Here is a 23,890-nt window from a genome sequence, read left to right on the forward strand (position 1 = left end):
AAGAGATAAGTAGTTCAGTTTTAGATATTGTTTTAGTTTGCAGGGGCTGCTGTAACAAAGTACTACAGATTGGGTGCTTAAGAGAAATTTGTTTTCTCAACTCTGGAGGCTAGAAGTTTGAGATGAAGGTGTTGGTAGGCCTGGTTTCTTCTGAGGTCTCTCTCCTTGGCTTGTAGATGATTGTCTTCTGTGTCTTCATGTAGTCTTCTCTCTGTATGTCTTCATGTAGTTGTCCCTCTATGTCCTAATCTCTTCTTTTTTTAAAGACGCTAGTCATATTGGATTAGGGCCTACTCTAAGGACCTCATTTTAACTTAATTACCTCTTTAAAGATCCTGTCTCCAAATATAGTTACATTGTGTATACATGCAGGTTAGGGCTTCAACACGTGAATTACGGGGGGAGGGGCAGTGCAATTCAGCCCATGATAGACATGAATTCTTGAAGGCTTGGAAGACTGAAGCATTCCCTGTACACTTATTTTTTATAACTTAACTTCATTATAATATCTTTTTTTTTTTGAGACGGAGTTTAGCTCTTGTTGCCTAGGCTGCAGTGCAATGGCGCGATCTCGGCTCATGGCAACCTCCGCCTCCTGGATTCAAGGGATTCTCCTGCCTCAGCCTCCCGAGTAGCTGGGATTACAGGCATGCACCACCACACCTGGCTAATTTTGTATTTTTAGTAGAGATGGGGTTTCTCCATGTTGGTCAGGCTGGTCTTGAACTCCTGACCTCAGGTGATCCGCCCACCTCGGCCTCCCAAAGTGCTGGGATTACAGGTGTGAGCCACTGTGCCTGGCTGTAATACACTTTTTACTTTCCTGTCTCTCTCCTTCCCTTCTGTCACCTCTTAATGTATTCTGTAAAGATGGAATCAGGTTAATAAAGTATAATTTACACACAAATTTACCCTGTTTAGGGTGCAGTTCTGTTATAACACTTTTGAAATAGAATATTGGAGATTCCATGTCTTTTTTGATTACTTCCCCATTTACCAAATATTGGGTACATGTCTACTACGTATCTAGGACCTGTGCAACAATGTTTTCTGCATGTTTCATTTCTTCATTCCAAGTCCTTGAAAAGTGCCAAGAGGCATTTCTATTGAATGGAACAGTTTGAAGAGCATTGATGTAGCTAGAGTAGTGGTTTTCAAAGCTTTGTCCCAAGACCCCTTTACATTCTTAAAATTGAGGACCCAAAGGACTTTTGTTTATGTGGGTTTTATATGTAAAGATAGATATTTACCATATTAGAAATGAAGAATGAATACAAATTATTTAGAATATTTAAAAGTAACAATAAACTCAATATATGTTAATAAAAATAACGTTATCTGGATTATTATAAGACAATTGGATTCTCATCTCTCCCTTTGCAGTCACTTTGTTAAGTGTTTTGGTTAGTGTATATAAAAACTCGGCATCACACAGATTTATAGCTTGAAAAGGGATGAATATTTTCAGATGTTTGTATGTTCTTTGATACTATGTCAAAACTTGACAAGTGGTAGTTTCTTAACGTATCTGAAAACATGGCAGTCACCTTAAAAAATTAAATTAACTGTTAAATTAAAATCCATTTGTCTGGTAGTGTAGGATAGAGTCCAGAAATAGATCCACACATACATGGACAGTTGATTTTTGGACAGAAGTGCAAAAGCAATTGCATAAAATATAAAGGATATCGTTTTTCAACAAATGGCACTGGAATAGTTGAATAGCTGTAGGAAAAAAAAAAGAACTTTGAGCTATAGCTTGTACCATATACCAAAATTAACTCAAAGGGCTGTTAGACCTCAATGAAAAACCTAAAACTATGAAACTTCTAGGGGAAAATATAGGAGAAATTCTTCGGAATCTTGGGTTAGACCAAGATCTCTTAGGTATGACTCCAAAAGCATGATCCATAAAAGAAGTGGATAAATCAGATGGCATCAAAATTCAGAATTTCTTTCAAAATTAGAAAGACACTTAACAGAATGAAGACAGGATACAGAAGATGTATCTTATAAGGGGCTTGGAGTATATAAAAAATTCTCAGAACTCAGTAATAAGAAAACAATAACTCAGTTTTTAAAATGGTCCAAAGATTTGTATAGACACTTCACTAAAAAATACATGTACATGGCTATTAAGCATATGCAAATATGCTAAGCATCATTAGTCAAAACCATAATGAGACACCACTTCACACCTGCTAGGATGGCTATAATCAGAAAGAACAGGTAAGTGTTGGTGAGCATTGTAGAAAAATTGGAACCTTCATTTGTTACGCTAGGAATGTAAGATAGTGTGACTGATTTTGGTAATTCCTCAAAAAGATAAGCTGAGTAACCATATGACCCAGAAATTTCATATACCCAAGAGAATTCAAAAAATATATTCACACAAAAACCTGTATATGAGTTAGCAGTATTATTTATAATAGCCAAATAGAAACAACCCAGTGTCCATCAACTGATGAGTAGATAAATGTGATCTATTTGTAAAATAGAATATTACCCAGCAGTTCAAAGGAATTAAGTACTGATGCATGGTACAACTTGGATAAATCTCATAAACATTAGGATAAGTGAAATAAGCCAGTCACAAAAGAACATATTTTCTATGATCCTATTTGTGTGAAATGTCCAGAATAGGCAAATCTATATATAGAGAAATTAGTGGTTGTCTGGAACTGGGGAGAGCAGATGGAGTAGGAAGTATCCACTAATAGTTACAGGGTTTCCTTTTGGGATGATGATAATGTTCTAAAAGATTATGGTGATGGTTGCGTAACTGTAAATATACTTAAAACAATTGAAGTCTTTAAATTGGTGAACTTTATGACATATATCTGAATAAAATTGTTAATTAAAACTACTGTGAGATATCATTACATACCTATTAGTGTGGCTAAAATGGTAATAGAATGACTGACCGTACCAAGTGTTTGTAAGGAGGTAGAGCAGTTGGAATTTTCATATACTGCTGGTGGGAGTGTAAAGTGGTACACCACTTCTTCTGGGGAGCAGAAAGCAACCTTCCGGGTACAGGTGAGCCAAGGTTGATGGGCAGTTATGCAGAGGGAGTTGGGATATCACTGTGTGTACCTGTGCAAGTCCTGGAGTGTGTTGGGTCCTCATCAGCAGGGCTGTATGAAGGTGTTCATTAAAACAAAACTACTGATAGTGTGGCAGGAGCTAGAAAACACCCCTTTCTTCTTAGATATCCCTCCAGCACCCTCTACTGGCAAAGTTTAACTGCCCCTAGCCAAAAGAAAAGAAAAGAAAAGCTTAGCATCCCTATCACTGAACAGGGACTGAAAGGGAGAATTTGGAGTTGAGAAGGGGATACATGGATAACTAGCTCATTACTGCTGAAATTGTTGGAATCATTCATTGCCTGTGCTGCTGAAGCTTGATGTTGCCCACAGCTGTTGGGCAGAATCTCCACCATGACTTGCGTATCTGTTAGCAGGAGTCTGCAGTACCTGCCATTAGCTGCAACTGCTGGTTTTTAGAAACAAGTAGAAAATGGTTTCGCTGTTTCTCTGCTTCTTCTTTATTTTTATTTTTGAGATGGAGTTTCGCTCTTGTCGCCCAGGCTGGAGTGCAATGGTGCGATCTTGGCTGACTGCAACCTCTGCCACCCAGGTTCAAGCGATTCTCCTGCCTCAGCCTCCTGAGTAGCTGGGATTACAAGCACATGCCACCACGCCCGGCTAATTTTGTATTTTTAGTAGAGACGGGGTTTCACCATGTTGGCCAAGCTGGTCTTGAACTCCTGACCTCAGTTGATCTACCCACCTCAGCCTCCCAAAGTGCTGAGATTACAGGTGTGAGCCACTGCACCCAGCCTCCCTGCTTCTTCTGATCTCACAGAAGTGCTTCTCATTGACAGACTCTAACTTAAGCCTAGTTGGCAAGGAGGCCAGAAAGTGCAGTTTTCAGGCTTCCAGGAGCAACAGTACAGGTGAATTTTTAATTTAGTAACGATAGTAATCTGGTGAGCTAAAATAAGTAAACTTTGGGGTACATAGAGAATTGGAATTATTATTATTATTATTATTTTTGAGACAGAGTTTCGCTCTTGTTGCCCAGGCTGGAGTACAATGGCACGATCTTGGCTCACCGCAACCTCCGCCTCCCGGGTTCAAGCGATTCTCCTGCCTCAGCCTCCCGAGTAGCTGGGATTACAGGCATATGCCACCACACCTGGCTAATTTTGTATTTTTAGTAGAGGTGGGGTTTCTCCATGTTGGTCAGGTTGGTCATGAACTGCCGACCTCAGGTGATCCGCCCACCTCAGCCTCCTGGGATTACAGGCGTGAGCCACTGCACCTGGCCGAGAATTGGAATTTTTAAACTGTGTTTGCAAGGCCTAATTCCCAAACCCACATAGTTTGTGTATGGGTATACGCTCACCCTCAAAAAGGAAATATTTTTTGTAAAATTTGAGCAGTTAAACATTTTTTTCTGCCTGTAATTGTAAAAGTAGCAATTAAACACTATCTACTTGGGGACGAGAAAGGAAGAAAAATTACCCATGTTCTCGTCTGACCAATTACAGTGGCTGTCTTTTTTTTGCATTTTCTTCTTTAGGCTATGGTGTTTTTACCTAGTTGGAAGTAAGGGAGTGTGGTCATTTAAAAATGTTATATCTCTTTCCATATTAGCAAATAGTTATATATACATATATATACTTTTTTTTTGTTTTTTGGTCTGTTGCCCAGGCTGGAATGCAGTCACGCAATTTCGGTTCACTGCAACCTCCGCCTCCTGGGTTGAAATGATTCTTGTACCTCAGCCTCCTGAGTAGCTGGGATTATAGGCGTGTGCTGCCATACCTGGCTAGTTTTTGTATTTTTAGTAGAGATGGGTTTCGCCATGTTGGCCAGGCTGGTTTCGAACTTCTGGACTCAAGTGATCCATCTTGCCAAAGTGCTGGGATTACAGGCATGAGCCACTGCGCCCAGCCTTGTATTTGCTATTTTTAAGGGACTGTATACATTCCATATAGTGAATGTGCACCATTTATATAGCCGCTTCCCTATTTTGGGCTATATAGGTTATCTGCAGACATTTTGAGTAATATTTTTAATATATTTTCAAAATTGTCTACTATAATTGTAGCTACTAATTGTAAAAATTTTATTGATAATTACATATTAAACATTCCTTGTTTACTTCAGCCAGATGAACAAGGTCAACATTAACAGTTACATGTGGCATAGTGCCACGGTTATTACTTGAGACTGTCACTATGACAGTTACTGCTGTTACTACTTGAGACCGTCATTATGAGACTGAGTGAAGGGGGACAAATGTAGAAATGAAAAATTAAGACAAAAGAAACTTTTAAAGGAAGAAAAAAGGGGAAGAAAAAGAGGGCTCCCTGCTTCTAGGGAGCAAAGGCAGCAGCCTAGCTTCCACAGCCCTTAGAATTTATTGGGTAGAAAGAGCAGGGGGGAGGTGATAATGACTGGTCAGCTGCTTAATTGATCACACGTTCATATTATTACGAACAGGCTTCAGATGTACCTAATCACAAGAAACTGAGCTTGGGGCGTGACTGCCTTCAGCATTCCTTCTGGGTGGCATAGGCAGTTTGTCAGTTTGCCAACATTCTGCGTTTATGAGAACAGTTTGCTGTTCACTCTTATAGCCTCCAGTGGTATACTGAGTTGATCACGACCCTCAGTCTTTCGGCCTCCAACAGTTACAAATCATGTTGATGGCATATCCCTTGATATGATATGATATGATATAAGATGCCACTTCATGTGATTTTTTTCCTTCCCAAAACCCATAGCCCCAGTCTATTCATGAATCATGCAATTTCCAGTAAACAGACATTCTACAGTGTACCTGACCAGTACTCCTTAAAATTGTCAAGGTCGTCAGAAACAAGGAAAATCTGAGAGACTGCCCGAGCCCAGAGGAGCCCAAGGAGACATGACAACTAAATATATGTAGATCCTAGAACAGAAAAGGGACGTTAGGTAAAGACTAAGGAAATCAGAATAAACCATGGATTTGAGTTAATGACAATGTATCAATATTGGTTAAGTGTAACAAAAGTGTAACAAATCCTAATAAGATGTTAATAGTAGGGGATATTGTGTGCTGGGTATATGGGAACTCTGTACTCTCTTCATATTTTCTGTAAGTCTAAGACTTCTAAAATCTAAAGTCTGTTAGTAATAAAAAATAATTCTTTGTATATTAAATTATCACTGATTTAACACCAGAAGGTAAGTGGAGAGATTTTGAAGTCTTACATCAAAGAACTTTCAAGATAGATAATAGCTTAAGAGTTATAACATGTACCCCAAAACTTAGAGTTTTATTTTTTTCCTCATACTAGGCACTTAGGATAAATTATTGAACTGTACTGTTGGCTAGAAAAACTTTGATGAAATGGGCTGACTTCCACAGTGGTGGTGGTTTTCTTTCTTTCTTTCCCATCTCCTGGGCAATCTCCACAAGAATTTGAAAAATTACTAAGGACTTGAAGCTTTTTTTTAATTAAAAAAACCACTATTGTTTATTGAGCCAAGCTCTTTGGTGGAATCTTTAAAAGGTATCCATGTGTAAAGACATTAGGTATTCAAATACAGCAACAAAAATTGCTACAGGATTAAATAGAAATTTCCCTTTGAAAACCAGGAAGAGCTTTGCCATATTGTTTCTAAGTAGGTTTGCGTTCATAACAAGCAAGATGCATTGATTTTACTTTGGCCTGAGCAAGATTCATAATTTTACTGCATACGAATCTGATGGGGGGGAGCCTCAATCTGCCACAGAACCTACTTCGGTGGTTTAATTTTTAGTAAAGGACTTTAAGCTGAGCCCTTTGTAGACTTCACTCTTTTTGTAGCCTTGGCCTTGTTACTCTGTTGAGGTTTTGGGTGGTGGGATTGGAACTAGTATACAAAACAGGCTATTCTTTTTTTGACTTTGTATGTTTGTAATAGTCGTACTTGCTTCATGTTTTTGCAAAGCTGCTAAGATTCTGTATAAAATAGGATCAGCTAAGTTATGTCGTAGTCACAAACTACCCTAAACCTCAGGAGCTTAAAGCATCAAAAGGTTAATCACTTCTTGGCCAGGCACATTGGCTCACACCTATAATACTGGCAGTTTGGGAGGCCAACACCAGAGGATTGCTTGAGCCCAGGAGTTTGAGACCAGACTGGGCAACGTGGTGATAGAGAGACCCTGCCTCTACAAAAAATAAAGAAAAATTTAGCTGGGCCTGGTGGTGTGCACATGTAGTCCCAGCTGGGAGGCTGAGGCAGGAGGATCACTTAAGCCCAGGAGTGTTTTTTGTTTGTTTGTTTCTTTTTGAGATAGAGTCTTGCTCCGTTGGTTGCCCAGGCTTGAGTGCAGTGGCGTCATCTCGGTTTGCTGCAACCTCCACCTCCCAGGTTCAAGCGATTTTCCTGCCTCTGCCTCGCAAGTAGCTGGTACTACAGGTGTGCGCCACCACGTTCTCGGTAATTTTTAGTAGAGATGGTGTTTCACCATGTTGGCCAGGCTGGTCTCAAACTCCTGATCTCAAGCAGTCTGCCCACCATGGCCTCCCAAAGTGTTGGGATTACAGGCGTGAGCCACCGTGCCCAGCCAGGAGTTTGAGGCTGCAGTGAACTATGGTTGTGCCATTGCACTCCAGCCTTGATGGCCTGGATGACAAAGTAAGGCTCTGTTTCTTTAAAAAAAAAAAAAAAATTTCCAATGTGGGTGGAGGGGGAAGTGCTTTTGCTAACTGTAGTCACTGGGGAGCCCAGCTTGATGGAAGCTCCATCCCTTACTGCATGCTTCCACGCCCATTGAGGCAGGGAAAATGCAGTGTGATGAATTGTGTTCATTGGCTTTCAGACACTTCTACCAAGAAGGGATACTTGTCATTGTACCTCATATTTCATTGACCAAAGTAAGTTACATGTCCATGCCTAATTTCAGAGGTGGCAGGGAAGTGCAGTTTCAGTGTATGCCCAGAAAGTGGAAAGTGAGAAATATTTGATGACCAATGCTGATGATTTCCAGTCCCTAACAACATCAGTTTCTACCTGGTTGGATGAAAAACGTGTGCTCATTGGGTGTACACTTCAATCTACAATTTCATTAGATGACATTTTAGAGAGGGAACAAGTATGTTTTTCATGTCATCCTTCTTTCTTATTTGTTCTTTCTTCCCACATGTCTGTGTAGACAGTACTGTAGAAGGCCTGTCGATTTCATTTTTCAAATTAAAGTATAATTTAAATACAGTAAAATTTACCTTATTTAATATCTATTTTGACAAATACATGCAGTCATATAGCCAGCACAGTCAAGGTATAGAATAGTTCCATTACCCCCCCCCCCCCTTGCAAATATCCTTTACCCTTTTATGGTCAACTTTGTCCCCCATTTCCAGCCCCTGGCAACTACTGATCTGTTTCTGTCCCTATCATTCTGCTTTTTCCAGAATGTCATAAATAGAACCATACAGTATGTAGTCTTTTGAGTCTGGTTTCTTTAACTTAATACAATGTTTGAGGGTTATCCACATCATCGTTGCATGTATCACTAGTTCATTTCTTTTTATTGCTTAGTATTTTATTGTAGGGATGTACCAAAGTTTATCTATTACCCAGTTGTGGAATTCTTGAGTTGATTGTTTCTAGTTTTGGGGAATTAAGGATGAAACCGTTATACATACTCACATAGGTTTTTGTGTGAACATAAGTTTTTGTTTTATCAGGTTAAATATATATTAGTAGGATTTCTGGATTGTCTGGTAAGGGTGTTTTTATTTTCATTTTTTTGCCCTTTCAATAGGTATGGGAGTATCTTACTGTGATTTTTTTTTTTTTTTTTTTTTTTTTTGAGACAGGATCTTGCTTATAAACCCAGGCTGGAGTGCAGTGGCGCCGTCATAGCTCGCTATAGCCTCAAGCTCCTGGGCTCAAGCAATCTTTCTGCCTTAGCCTCCTGAGTAGCTGGGACTACAAGCAGACGCCATCATACCCTGCTAATTTTAAAATTTTATTGTAGATATGGGGGTCTCCCTATGTTCCCCAGGCTGGTCTTGAACTCCTGGGCTCATGTGATCCTCTTGCCTGAGCCTCCCAAAGTGCTGGGATTACAAGTGTGAGCTGCCATATCTGGCGTTACTGTGATTTTTATTAAAAAATTTGATTGTGGTAAAGTATATGTAATAAAATTTACTTATTTTAACTATTTTTAAGTATATACTTCAGTGGCATTAAATACACCTTGTTGTGCAACCATCACCATCTTCTTGTGATTTAAATTTGCATTTCTTGAATGACTTGAACATTTAAAATTTTTTATTCCTCTTTCGGTGAGTGTGTTCAGATCTTTTGCTGATTTTTTTTCAAACCATTTTCTTTCTTTTTTTTAACTAACCCAGCACAAAGCTGATTTTTTTTTTAGTTTTCTTACTGTTGAGACCTTGATTAGTAAACTGGACAAAGAACTTGAACAGATAGTTCACAAAGAAAGAGAACTTGGTAAACTGTGGAAATGTTCAGGTTGGCAGTAATAAAACCACTTTTTAATTAGCTGCTGTACTACCTGGTTATTTTTTATCTTTATATTTCAGTAATGTATGTTTTACTCGATGGAGCAGTCTACTGTGCAAGTGGGAGAATATGATAAAGTTGGAGGAGCAGATAAATAGAATATTGACATTATGAAAAAAATAAAACATTCACGATAACCTGGTTGCTTGATGAAGGTAGTTGTGGGGAAGAAGCATGATAAGGTCAAAAGGAGAGTACTCTTGGAATTGGGAGCTAGTTTTTAATCCTCATTTGGCCCTTGGTTGATAATTACTTGGTTCTCAGTAACTGAAATAGAATTAGCTATTCTTAGATTTCCAGCCAGTTTTCTGAAAGTGTGACAGTTCAGTGATACCCTAGATCTCTTGTATACTGCCTTCTCCTTAGTCTTGTGTGGCCTTAGATGTGTTATATTACCCTACCCCTTTCAACCTCAGTTTCCCAAACTATGAGATTGGTATTGTGAGGAGTAAGTGACAGAATACATTCGGAGTGCTTAGAACTGTGTGTAGAGATGGTAGGTGTATTAGTCTGTTTTCATGCTGCTGATAAAGACATACCTGAGACTGGGCAATTTACAAAAGAAAGAGATTTATAATGGACTTACAGTTCCATGTGGCTGGGGAAGCCTCACAATCATGGTGGAGGGCAAGGAGGAGCAAGTCACAGGGATGGCAGCAGGCAAAAAGAGAGAGCAAGTGAGCTTGTGTGGGGGAACTCCTGTTTTTCAAACCATCAGATCTCATGAGACTTATTCACTATCACGAGAACAGCATTGCAAAGACTTGCCCCCATGATTCAATTACCTGGGTCCCTCCCACAACACGTGGGAATTCAAGATGAGATTTGGGTGGGGACACAGCCAAACCATATCAGTAGGTAATGAAATAAAGGGTAGTTCTTAGCTGATGTCAAAGTAACAATTGAATGTTGTGCTTTTTTATACTTTTTTTTCTTTGAGGCAGTGGCTGGTCTTTTAAAATGCCTTCATTAAAGTTTCTAGTACATTATACCAAATAGAAATTAAAAGACATGCAAGTTGCTGCTGGCTGGCATCTATAATCCCAGCTATTCAGGAGTCTGAGACAGGATGATTGCTTAAGGCCAGGAGTTTGAGACTAGCCCGGGCAACATAGTGAGACTCTATCTCCTAAAAAAGTTAGCTGAATGTGGTGGTGTGCTCCTGTAATGCCCACTCCTCATAGATATTTCAAAATAGTAATATTTATTGCTGCCAATGTGAGTAGGCCAAAAAAAAAAAAGAGAGACATAGAGACATGGAAGATCAAATGCCAATTAATTACTTAAAATTGATTTTGAGAATATGAAAACATCATTTTGGATTTTGATGTTTTCTGCTCCATAATGGAGCAGAAAATTAATTTTCATTTTCCTTATATTTGTTTTTCTCCTAAGACCCAATTGAGGGGGGAGAAAACCCATAGCATCTTAAAGATCTTTATTTTTTTATCATGTCTGTGTACTATTGTTAGTGGATATAATGCTTTATGAAATGTGGTCATTTCAGTAGTTTTATAAAATATGTTTTGATTTAAAAGCATGTAGCAATAGTGATCATTAATCCATTCATTAGAATTTTTTATACTTCATTATACAATTGACTCTGTGAAAATAGATGCTAGGGAGATTTTAAAGAGTTATTAATACTGCTTGGAAATAATAATATGTTAGAATTCCCTTTAGGATTATTTTTTTTCCCCACTTGAGACCTAACCTGTCATTGTTTTCATATAAACCAAACCACTTAAAGTAACAAATGGATTAATGCACTTGTTCTTCCTCTTGACGAACTCCTTGAAGAACAATTTTGGAAGTATTTATTAATTTGCTTTAAAATAACAACACTCATTATGTGTTAATATAAATACTGTTTTTCGTGAAAATAACTATTCCAAACTCCCAAAATTGATGAGGAAAGTGGATTTGTTTTATATTTGCCAATCTCTTTAATACCTATTTTAATGAGAAGCAGCTGGGTCTTTTCATCTCTAGCTGCATTCATTCTATTATCTCATGTAGCCTCTAGAAAATACCACTGCAAACTGGCAAGACAATAAGTGAAAAAGAAGTCTTAGGGGCTGGGCATGGTGGCTCATGCCTGTAATCCTAGTGCTTTGGGAGCTGAGATGGGAGGATTGCCTGAGGCCAGGAGTTAGAGGTTACAGTGAGCTATGGTGGTGTCACTGCACTCCAGCCTGGGTGACACAGCAAGACCCTGTCTCTTAAAAAAAAAAACAAAACAACAACAACAGCAACAAAAAACTTAAGTGTTACTAGGATAGTAGTTGTGTCTTTGCATTCTCTGAGTGAGAAACTTGGGATCCCAGTTCTCTTCTCTAGGCCAAGCAGAGCCCTGGGGCTTGATTTCAGAGTTGTTGGGTTTGCTTAGTATCTTGTTTGTTGGTTTGTCATTCAGAAGGACAGGGGTCTTCTGAAAAATCAGTGCCCTAATTCATGTGTGTGTCTACATCCTTCTAAGTGGAGATCCATGTCTCTCTCCCCACTCCACCTGTCCTGTTCCACCATTCGCTAGCTGGCCATCCACTTGGAGTCAGCAGTGCTTCCTGTGGTGAGTGTGCCCTGGAGTTTGCCACTGCTTTGGTCCTGACCACAGCTTTCTCAGGCCACGCAGGGCTAGGTTGTCTAGGTGGCAGTGTTTTGTATCATGGAATGAGCCCACCAAGTGACCAATTGCTGTACCCACGTGGATGTCACTCCACCTGTTGTCCTTGCCTCTCACAGGCAGCAATGTGCCAGCAGGACTGTCTTTGCCATACCCCAGGCCATAGTCAATGGCCGACCCGTCACGATGTTCCTGGAGGGCAGCGTCCCACGGGTGGGACACCCTTTGTCATGCTGTGGCTGCTATACCCTACTTCCTACTTGCACAGCCATCTGAATGTGGGCTAGGGAGCCCAAACCCTATGCCTGAGATCTGTACATCCACACTTGCACCCACCCTCCCTGGTAGATCCTACAGTAGTAGCACATGCCAGTTTCAAAAGTTAATCCACAGTATTGTTGTGAATGGCTGGATGAGGGTTCAGCTCCTATATAGATAACTGGTTATTGTAGGACTGATCCGCACCTGTGGCTTCAGTGACTCTGGTGATTCTAGGTAACCTAGATCAATCACATTTTCTCCCCACCCCCACCATGGCCCTGTCACTCTTAGGTGGCAGTTGTAGTGCCTACTGAGGCGACCACTGTGACCAAGAATCTTAATAATAGGGAATCTCAATTTGATTCTGCAGAGAGAGAGCCTGATAAATTAATACCCTATCTAAAGAATGCAGCAGGCGCACAAATTACCCACTCCCAACCCTGGAGGATAATGATTAAAACAATATAGAACTCTTTCAAGGCCCTGTAGTTGGAAAGAGTCCAGTTTAAATCCTTTAAAGAGGATCTATTGCAGGGCAAGCCTGGTGCTGGCAGCCACGGTAATCCCACTTTCAATGTGGTGTGCTGAATTCCTGGCAGTTAAAATGCTTGTTTTTGGATCTTAACGTGCTGCCGGGGTCCATTGCAAGAAAGTCCATGCCTCTTGTCTTTTTGGTACCTTACGGGCTCTTCTTCCCTGAGTTTCCCTGGAGCTGAAGTGTGCACTTGAAGAAAATTAGTGTTCAAAGTAGCGTGGGCTGCCTGGATACTGCTGGTGGGAATCATGGAATGGGAGCGTGGTTCTATTTTGTTTGTGTTGGAACTTTGAGGAAGCTTATTAAGCAGGGCAGTTGGGGCATTAGTATTGCACCGCTAGGACTCAAATTCTGGGCCAGTAATAAGACTGATCAGAGTGAAAGTTTTTGCCAAGGATGTTTTCATTAACCAAGAATGAAGGTGAAAGTGGGAAGTTTAAAGATGTTCAGGTCCTGTGTAGTTACGAACATAAATGTGATGTTGACCACTGCATTAATGCCCATGACCCACTAGCAGCTTCCAGGAAACCAGAGCCCTTTGGGTCGTGGTAGGGGGAAGGTCTGTGTTCATAGCTGAAACTGAAAGGCAACAGCAATAGAGACAGCTTAATTTGACTGAACATGAGCAACCTTACCTGCTTCCAGCACAGACAGGATTGTCCCATTGATAGTTATTCTGTGGGTGGGGGTGCATGGCTTTTCTACTTGATGAAGAGATTTTGAGAGGTGACAGCATGCTGGCAGTCCTCACAGCCCTCGCTTGCTCTCGGCGCCTCCTCTGCCTGGGCTCCCACTTTGGCGGCACTTGAGGAGCCCTTCAGCCCACCACTGCACTGTGGGAGCCCCTTTCTGGCCTGGCCAAGGCCAGAACTGGCTCCCTCAGCTTGCAGGGAGGTGTGGAGGGAGAGGCGCGAGCGGGAACTGGGGCTGCGTGCAGCGCTTGCGGGCCAGCTGGAGTTCCGGGTGGGCATGGGCTTGGTGGGCCTGCACTCGGAGCAGCCGGCCGGCCCTGCCGGCCCAGGCAGTGAGAGACTTGGCACCCGGGCCAGCGGCTGCAGAGGGTGTACTGGGTCCCCCAGCAGTGCCGGCCCACCGGCGCTGTGCTCGATTTCTTGCCGGGCCTTAGCTGCCTTCCCGCTGGGCAGGGCTCGGGACCTGCAGCCCGCCATGCCTGAGCCTCCCACCCACTCCATGGGCTCCTGTGCGGCCCGAGCCTCCCCGACGAGCACCACCCTCTGCTCCACGGCGCCCAGTCCCATCGACCACCCAAGGGCTGAGGAGTGCCAGCGCATGGCGCGGGACTGGCAGGCAGCTCCACCTGCAGCCCGGGTGCGGGATCCACTAGGTGAAGCCAGCTGGGCTCCTGAGTCTGGTGGGGACGTGGAGAGTCTTTATGTCTAGCTCAGGGACTGCAAACACACCAATCAGCACCCTGTGTGTTTAGCTCAAGGTTTGTGAGTGCACCAGTTGACACTCTGTATCTAGCTGCTCTGGTGGAGCCTTGGAGAACCTTTATGTCTAGCTCAGGGATTGTAAATACACCAATCGGCACTCTGTATCTAGCTCAAGGTTTGTAAACACACCAATCAGCACCCTGTGTTTAGCTCAAGGTTTGTGAGTGCACCAATCTACACTCTATCTAGCTGCTCTGGTGGGGCCTTGGAGAACTTTTGTGTCAATACTCTGTATCTAACTAATCTGATGGGGACGTGGAGAACCTTTGTATCTAGCTCAGGGATTGTAAATGTACCAATCAGCACCCTGTCAAAACAGGCCACTCGGCTCTACCAATCAGCAGGATGTGGGTGGGGCCAGATAAGAGAATAAAAGCAGGCTGCCGGAGCCAGCAGTGGCAAGCTGCTCGGGTCCCCTTCCACACTGTGGAAGCTTTGTTCTTTCACTTTTTGCAATAAATCTTGCTACTGCTCACTCTTTGGGTCCACACTGCTTTTATGAGCTGTAACACTCACCGTGAAGATCTGCAGTTTCTCTCCTGAAGCCAGCGAGACCACGAGCCCACCAGAAGGAACGAACAACTCCAGACGCGCTGCCTTAAGAGCTGTAACACTCACCGCGAGGGTCTGCAGCTTCACTCCTGAGCCAGCGAGACCACGAACCCACCAGAAGGAAGAAACTCCGAACACGTCCGAACATCAGAAGGAACAAACTCCAGACGCGACACCTTAAGAGCTGTAACACTCACCGCGAGGGTCCGCGGCTTCATTCTTGAAGTCAGTGAGACCAAGAACCCACTAATTCCGGACACAATTTGACTGGTAGTTAATCAATAACCAGGGAGATTAGCGTGCTAACCAGTTAGGTGAGCATTCGGCATCTCCCAATTTAGACAAATGGCATTCAGCCATCTGAGATTGAGCAGTTAGGCTCTGGATTGCCCAGCTGGTTAGCACACAGATAGATCTCTCCACCAGCCTAGAAAAGGCATGCACCCCACTCACAGAAGAGTAGCCACAGGCCTGTGATGCTCTTAAATGCCTGTAACCACGCACCACACTGCTCTCGGCATGTGCTCACTTGAATCCGATGGATGTCAGAGACCCGTTAAGTGCATTAGTGATGGGGATCGGGATTGTAGTAAGTCGTCGTTAAGGAAGAATTTCCCGTGAGAGATTAGGCTGAAAGTGTGCATTAAGTTTCTGCCCATTCTCCCTCCGATAGGCCACTAGGGATTGGCTCTTGGCCCTGACAGATAGCTGAGAACGGTCTAAAATAAAAGTTATAACCAGGGTTCCCTAAGTGGACCCGGGTAGGAGCTTTAGAGCGAGAGTGCGAAGGATCCGTCGCGGTTCCTCTGCCGTCGTGCTGCTTTGGGGCCACTCCAGGCAGAAGACAGACAAATATGCCCCTAGAGTCTTGTAGTGCTGGGCATGAGGGGTGGGCTGCGGTCCAAGGACCCCTTAGCGCTGTCCCTTCTGCTTAAGGTGGCTTCCGGCTCATCTCTCTGTGGCCTGGTGCTTTTGTGGCTTTGGGGTATCCCCTCCCCCCACCAGCCCTTAAAGTGTGTGTATGTGTGTGTGTTTCTGGGTCTGCCTACCTTGCACTCTTGTGGGGTGGGGTGACATGAAAAGCTTGTCTTCTAACTGCTGTTATTGTGGTGAGTCCTCACATGTGTTTTGTGGAGTTTAGGCTGTTAGGACTTTAAACCGTTAAATTGTTAAGACTGGAGTTTAAAACTGTTAGGACGCTAATGGTGACCTGATTTTACATATTTTTATTATTTGTTGTGGAGAGCGCAGTTTTGAATAAAACCATCTGTTTCTCTTATTTTCGACTTTGATTTATTTAAAATCTGTCATACGAAGGAACAACTTAACTTTTAATACATTATTTAGGAATTTTTTAGTTTTAGATAAACACTTGAATAGCAACTTAATCACAACTTTCAGTTCTCCGTACTATTAATGTTTTGTCAAGTGATAGATTCTTGCTTTAATGTCCAATATTTTGGTTTATGCTTGTTTCTTGCTTTTTTAAAAAAGTTATAACCAAAGGAAATTCAATTTTCCTTTTTCATTGGCAGACATATGTAGAGTGTGTCGGTCAGAAGGAACACCTGAGAAACCGCTTTATCATCCTTGTGTATGTACTGGCAGTATTAAGTTTATCCATCAAGAATGGTAAGTCATACTTTTAGAAAGTTATGTAAGTCTGAGCTTCAGTTTCGTCATGTATACAGTAACAGGGATCATTTCAATGTACTTTCTCTGTAATTATTTTTAAAAGTTTTATTGTATTTTCCTGAGCACAGGAAACTGAAAAAGCCCTTTTATTGTAAAAATTAAAAAATTTGGAAAAGAAATTATCCATTAATTCTTAATACCATGGCTGTTATTTTGGTGTATCCTCTTCCAGGTACACGTAATTACCCATTGTTTATTTCTACCATGGAGAGCTTATTTTGTCCTCTGAAAGTGTTATGATTTTCTAGTTTTGCTTGGCATAATAGTAGCTTACATTTATGAAGTACTTTTTGCCAAGAACTGTTCTTAGTGGTTTGTACATCTCAACTCATTTTTAATCCTTATAAGAAAATTGTGATGAGGTGGAGTATTATTATTATGCAGATGAGGAAATTGAAGCATGGGAAGGCTAGATAACTTGTCCTTGGCCACATAGCCAGCCAGTTAGTGGCAGAACCAGGATTCAGACCTAGCTACCAGGTACCAGTATTATCAGACCAGGATTAAAACTGATGTTGATGCTTAGAGATTCTTTCATGTTCATTTTGCTTTGAGGAAATTACAGTTTTGATTAATTGAACCTTTTTTAATGGTAGAAAAATGTGTTGTTTTTATCTCTAGCTGTTGTAGTTTTTCATTCTTAGAAGGCAGTTACAAAAAGTTAAGAATATTCTAAATTTGAAAATTTTGAAACTAAAAGCTCTGTGATATATACATTTTTAATAAAAACAATGTTTTCGACAAAACTGTAATGTTTCTTTGCTGTAAACACTGTACTTATGAATCTATTTATAATTACAGCTTAGTTCAATGGCTGAAACACAGTCGAAAAGAATACTGTGAATTATGCAAGCACAGATTTGCTTTTACACCAAGTAAGTTCTTTAGACATTTTCACTGCATTTTTTTTGGTTATCACTCGTGGCATAAAGGTGTTTGATATGATCAGTTGACAGAGGAAGGGGGATAAAAGTGCTTAAGCACTTTAAAGCAATTATTTTCAGCTTGATTTTTTTTGATAGTAATAGGAAGTATTGATATTTAGGAAAATATTTTGAAAAACTGTATGCTGTCTTTTATCACACACATGTTTGAGATTTGTGGGGTGTTTTTTTTTGTCTTTAAAATTTATTTACTTTTAATTGTAGACAGGTTCGAACACATGCAAAAATCTAACAAGTCCACATGAACCCATCACTTAGTGTCAACTCATAGCCTGTCTTGTTTTACATACACTCTTGTTCCCTGCCTCTTTATCCTTTTATTTTTTTCTCTATTATTTAAAAAATAATTCTACCATTTGTAATTTCATCTGTACATACTTCAGTATGTATCTCTAAAAGGTAAGGGTTCTTTTTCAAAAACGTAACTATAATACCATTATCCACCTAGAAAAATAAACAATGATGCCTTGATTTCATCAAATATTCAGTACTCTTCAAATTTGGACTACATTTTGAGTTAAAGTTGTATAGGTTAGAATAATAGTCATAAAGATAAAGCTTTTTTTTTTTTTGAGACAGAATCTCGCTCTGTTCTGTTGCCCAGGCTGGAGGGCAATGGCGTGATTTCAGCTCACTGCAAGCTCCGCCTCCCGGGTTCACGCCATTCTCCTGCCTCAGCCTCCCGAGTAGCTGGGACTACAGGTGCCCACCACCACACCTGGCTAATTTTTTTGTATTTTTAGTAGAGACGGGGTTTCACCATGTTAGCCAGGATGGTCTCGATCTCCTGACCTCATGATCTGCCTGCCTCAGCCTCCCAAAGTGCTAGGATTACAGGCGTGAGCCACCGCGCCCAGCAAGCTTTTTTTAAAAAAATAATAAAAAATAGAGAGAGGGTCTCACTATATTGCCCAGGTTGTTCTTGAACTCCTGGCCTCAAGCAATTCTCCTGTCACAGCTTCCCAAAGTGTTGGGATTACAGGCTTGAGCCACATTGCTTGGCCAAACAAAGTTTTAAATTACCGTTTTTTTCATGAGGCTAACTTTTAAGGTCAATATTTCATAAGCCTTTATAAAATATTTTTGCAGCCTTTAAGGTTTTAACTATGATTCCTGTGCCTATTAATATTTAATATGTTTTATCTCAAATAAGTAGAGGACTGTGCTGGCAAGTTATTAAATATTTGAAGCATAATTTTTCATTCTGGGATCCCCTATATTGCCTTCCCTTACAAAGGATTTTTGTGTTTTAGTTGTGTGTGTGTGTGTGTGTGTGTGTGTGTGTGTGTGTTTAAGCATCTTGAGCTTCTCGATATAAATGCTGTAACTTAGTGTTTTACTTTGTTTTTATTTGATGAGTATAAATGATTAAAGTTATTACATTTTCACTTTTGGAGCTGTATATTCATCATAAAAAAGTCAATTCTGTTATTTTGTAGTCATTAATTTTCTGTAGTACGTAAAAGCTGTACAGCTTGTCAAGATTCATAGGAAACTAAGACTAACTAGTTGAGTATCTTCATGAAATTCAGTTGATAGGAAATATGTGGGCTTTTACTTTGAGGCCAATAGAAGCTTGTTTTGTACATTTTAATTTTCATTTGATAGTTACATTCTCTATTTCTTTTATCTTTTGCAAAAAATCTCTATTATTCCTGGTTTTAATGACTTGCTCTTGTATACCAGATATCCTATCGAAGTCAATGATCTGTGGGCATGTGCCATTAAAAGTTGCTATTTGTGGCCAGGTGCTGTGGCTCACCCCTGTAATTCCAGCACTTTGAAAGGCTGAGGCAGGCGGACCACCTGAGGTCAGGAGTTTGAGGCTAGCCTGGCCAACATGGTGGAAACCCTGTCTCTACTGAAAATACAAAAATCAGCCAGGTGTGGTGGCAGACGCCTGTAATCCCAGCTACTTGGGAGCCTGAGGCAGGAGAATCACTTGAACCTGGGAGGCGGAGTTTGCAGTGAGCTGAGATTATGCCACCGCACTCCAGCCTGGGCAACAGAGTGAGACTCTGACTCAAAAAAAAAAAAAAAAGGTGCTATTTGTCAGTTGTTTATTTCTCAATGTTTATAGGTGTGAACAGTTTTGTGATAGTGTTCTTATAAATTTTAGATCATTGCTTTTAAACCCTGATATATCATAATTTCTTGTTTTGGCCTTACTGGAGAAAGAATTGTTTGTTTTTCCTTTATGTTCTTTCCGAGCTACCTGTGGTAGAGGTTTTTGATAATAGGCAGTGGTTTTTTATTGGAACCATTTTAAAAGGGAATCCTTTTTAAATGTGGCAGAACTTTTCTTTTTCTGAATGTGTTGAGCCACATTTCTCAGAGTAGTGGGAAGATCTGAATTTATCATTTGAAATTTTAAGTATTATGCTAACATCGGGAAAGTGGCTAACAAATGTCAGTGGGATGTTTGCTCCCACATGAAATGATCTGCTGCGGACTGTTGTGCTTTTTGAGTGCTATTTAATGCTTATATTTGGGGGAGTGTTGATGGCTTGTTGTCAGCTTCATCTTTTGCTCCTGTTTGCTTTATTACATCTTTTATAGTTTGGGAAACCAGATGATTATATTGGTTGAATGTTAAAATGTGTGTAAATGGGCCTTGTATGAGGTTCATGGCTATTAGCAAGGGATGTGAACATCTATTGAATTTTTTTTTCCTGCCCAGAGGCCTTTGTTGATTTCCACGTTTCACATGTGATTTGCCTCATAAATGACTTCTTGGGTAAATGTGATATTATAACTATTTGGTTTATTTTTTTTAAATAGGAAAAAAATTAAGCACAAGGCAAATATTGGAAGTTTAGTTAATGTCTATTTTATATTTATGAATTAAGCTATTTTCGAATCTTCATGAAACTGTAAGTACTTTTTTTCCGCTTATAGTTTATTCTCCAGATATGCCTTCACGGCTTCCAATTCAAGACATATTTGCTGGACTGGTTACAAGTATTGGCACTGCAATACGATATTGGTTTCATTATACACTTGTGGCCTTTGCATGGTTGGGAGTTGTTCCTCTTACAGCATGTGAGTATTCATGCCTCTGATTGGAGTTATTTAAACATTGCATAACTACTTAATATTATAAAGCAATATTGCATCATATTATTATTTGACTGATGTTTAGTTATTTGATGTCAGAGTGTCATGTATTAGGAAAGCCTTACTTAGAAGATGTTCATCGGAACTAAGAATGAGTTTAACAGGTCAGTTTTTTGAGTGAATGTGGGAAAGAACACAGCATACAGAATGGCTAACCATGAAAGTTCATGAAAGCGTTGAAAAAATCAAATCAAATCATAATTAGATATGAAGTATGCTAGAGCTTTCAAGGGCTACAAAAGACGGCCGGGCGCGGTGGCTTATGCCTGTAATCCCAGCACTTCAGGAGGCCGAGGCAGGCGGATCACGAGGTCAGGAGTTTGAGACTAGCCTGGCCAACATGGAGACTGAGGCAGGAGAATTGCTTAAACCCAGGAGGCGGAGGTTGCAGTGAACTGAGATCGCACCACTGCACTCCAGCTTGGGCAACAGAGCAAGACTTTGTCTCGCAAAAAAAAAAAAAAAAGGACTGCAAAAGATGAATTCTTTTGGGATTCTGCAACCCTCCTTTAAAAAAATACTCACATGGCCAGGCGTGGTGACTCACGCCTGTAATCCCAGCACTTTGGGAGGCCGAGGTGGGAGCATCACTTGAGGTCAGGAGTTTGAGTCCAGCTGACCAACAAGGTGAAACCCTAGCTCTACTGAAAATACAAAAATTAGCCGGGTGTGGTGGTGTGTGCCTGTAATCTCAGCTACTCAGGAGGCTGAGACAGGAGAATCACTTGAACCTGGGAGGCAGAGGTTTCAGTGAGCTGAGATCATGCCACTGCATTCCAGCCTGGGCAACGGAGTGAGACTTTGCCTCAATAAAATACAAATAAAATTTAAAAATACTCATACATGTAATGGTCATAAATAATTGGGAGGCTTATCTTTCAGATATAGGAGGCTCTTTGGGAGGGTGGTATACTAATCAACCCCCCTAATCAATCCAAAGAATCCTCTTGGATTCTTTGTTGTTCTTATAGACATGGAGAGAAGTACATAGTATATGGGAGGCAGAGTATATAGATAAGATTCATTAGAGTTAAACTAAATGTTTAATTAGTATAATTGATATCTTCATGTCTCCTTAAAATATGATAAAATAATCTTGATTACCTATGGAAATGAAATTCTTGGAAGATACCAACTAGCAGAATATAGGTACTGTTGAAGAGTGAGTTAGCTAGAAAATGTATCAAGGAATTCTCCCAGGATGAAACTCAGAGGGACAAATAGTTACAAGTATGAGAAATAAATATTGACAAATGGAGGCTAGTCTAGTCTGTCTAGTAAGTAGTTCCACAAGGTAAAAGAGATAATGGAGATGAGGAAACAATTGGTGTCTTTTAGATTGAACGAGAAAGCTGACCATGGTAAAGGAAAAGTCTCATGAACCTAGACATATTCTCAAGTTTTCTGGAGCTGGGTAGGGTGGCGATGGTGATAGAGGTATAGAGATTGTATGCTTCCAGATTATCCTACAAAGTAAAGAAAATCAGAGTGGCATCAGACTTAAAATTAGCAATGTTGAATGCTAGAAGACAATGGAAACTCAAAATTTGATGTTTTTGAACCTAAAATTCCCTTTCTGCAAATTACTCTCAGATTGAAGGACAAACTACAGATGTTTCAATGGATGTGAGGGATTGGAAAGTTTACTACCTTAAACCTTTTTGAAAAAACAGGATATACTTTACTAAATGAGCAAGGAATCAGAGAGAAAGATGTGAGATACAAAGAAGTGTTTCATATAGCTAAGTCTCAATTGTTAATCTGCAATAATTAATAGTTTTTGGGTAACAGCCTGGAACTAAAATTCCAGATGATCTTAACGTGGGAGAAATTGTGACGGGAAGATAGAAATTAAAGCTTTTAAAATTGCTTATCTCATTTGTGGGGAGATTATAGATGTTCTAGATGTAGGTAGAAAAATACAGCATAACTGTGCATTAAAAATGTGGACTAGACTTATAACTACCCAGAACTGGACTCAAAACTACATTGTTACATTATTAATGACAAAAGTGCCACCACAGATCGGTGGCAAAAAGATGGTCTTTTCAGTAAATGGTATGGCAGCAATCAGATGGCCGTACAGAAAAAAAGAATCATATCATTACCTCAACCTAACACAGAAATTAATTTGAGATGAATTTAAAAGCCTGAATGTGAAAGTTAAAAAGAAACTTCTAAAATAAAATACAGGAGAATAAGCATAAAACAAAATATTAGTAAATTGAACATAATTAAAGTTAAAAACTTCTCTTCATCCTTAGACACTTTTAAGAATAAAAGGCAATTGAATTCTGGCACTCAAAAAAAAAAAGAAAATTGAAAGCCATGGAGTGAGAGAAGATATTTGCAGTACCCATAGCCAACAAAGGACTTGTATCTAGAGTATATAAATCAATAACAAAAAGGCAAACACATCCCAATTAAGCAGTGGACAGAATTTTGAACAGGTATTTCTGGAAAAATAGCTAAATATACTAAGCTCTCCGTATCTGTGGGTTCTGCAATGCTGACTGTAGAATGTGAGCATCTGTTTATTTTGTTATTGAGGAGAGTCCTGGAACCCATTCCCCATGGATACCAAGGGATGACAGTAGCCAATAAACACATGAAAAACTGCTCAGCATCATTAGAGAAATGCACAAGGAGGGTGACTAAAAATAAAAAGAGTAGACAGTGCCAAATGTTGCTCAGGACATAGAGCATCTGGAACACGTATACAGTGATCAAGGGGGAGCGCATATGTTATAACCACTTTAGAAAACTGGCAGTATCTACTGATGCTAAATATTACAAATACCTTATGATCTAGCAGTTCCATTCTTGGGAATATAACTAACAGAACAAGAACTTTCTGTTCACTAAAGGACATATGTATAAGAATGACCACAGCAGTTTTATTAATAGTACTTAAAAACTGATATCAGTCAAATGCCTATTAATAGTAGAATGGATACATCGTGGTTTATTCATGCAACGGAATACTACATAGCAGTGAAAAAAGAGCTAACTATTGTGACATGGAATAACATGGATTAATTTTGCTTCTTTGACAAAAACAAGCCAGGCACAAAATCGTATGATTGCATGTGTGTGAAATTTTAAAACAGGTTACATTCATCTATAGTGGT

At 40.3% G+C, this 23,890-nt stretch overlaps 1 protein-coding gene across 11 annotated transcripts in view; it reads left to right on the forward strand.

Moving 5' to 3' along the window:
• Window positions 1–23,890, forward strand: part of MARCHF6 (membrane associated ring-CH-type finger 6) — an 86,694-nt gene that overhangs the window by 7,565 nt on the left and 55,239 nt on the right. For 8 of the 11 annotated variants that reach the window (XR_925577.3, NM_005885.4, XM_047416612.1 and 5 more), the window contains exons 2-4: window positions 16,539–16,635; window positions 17,500–17,573; window positions 20,541–20,684. The exons of 1 other annotated variant lie outside the window; for it this stretch is intronic. Coding sequence is in view for 9 of the 10 variants with exons in the window: in NM_005885.4 (NP_005876.2) it covers window positions 16,539–16,635; window positions 17,500–17,573; window positions 20,541–20,684 (315 nt within the window). In the remaining variant the exon portion in view is untranslated. The remainder of the gene's footprint in view (window positions 1–16,538; window positions 16,636–17,499; window positions 17,574–20,540; window positions 20,685–23,890) is intronic. 2 more of the 11 variants (NM_001270660.2, XM_047416613.1) reach the window with 1 other exon arrangement.

This window comes from Homo sapiens, chromosome 5, assembly GCF_000001405.40.
Source record: "Homo sapiens chromosome 5, GRCh38.p14 Primary Assembly".
Classification (NCBI taxonomy): Eukaryota; Metazoa; Chordata; class Mammalia; order Primates; family Hominidae; genus Homo; species Homo sapiens.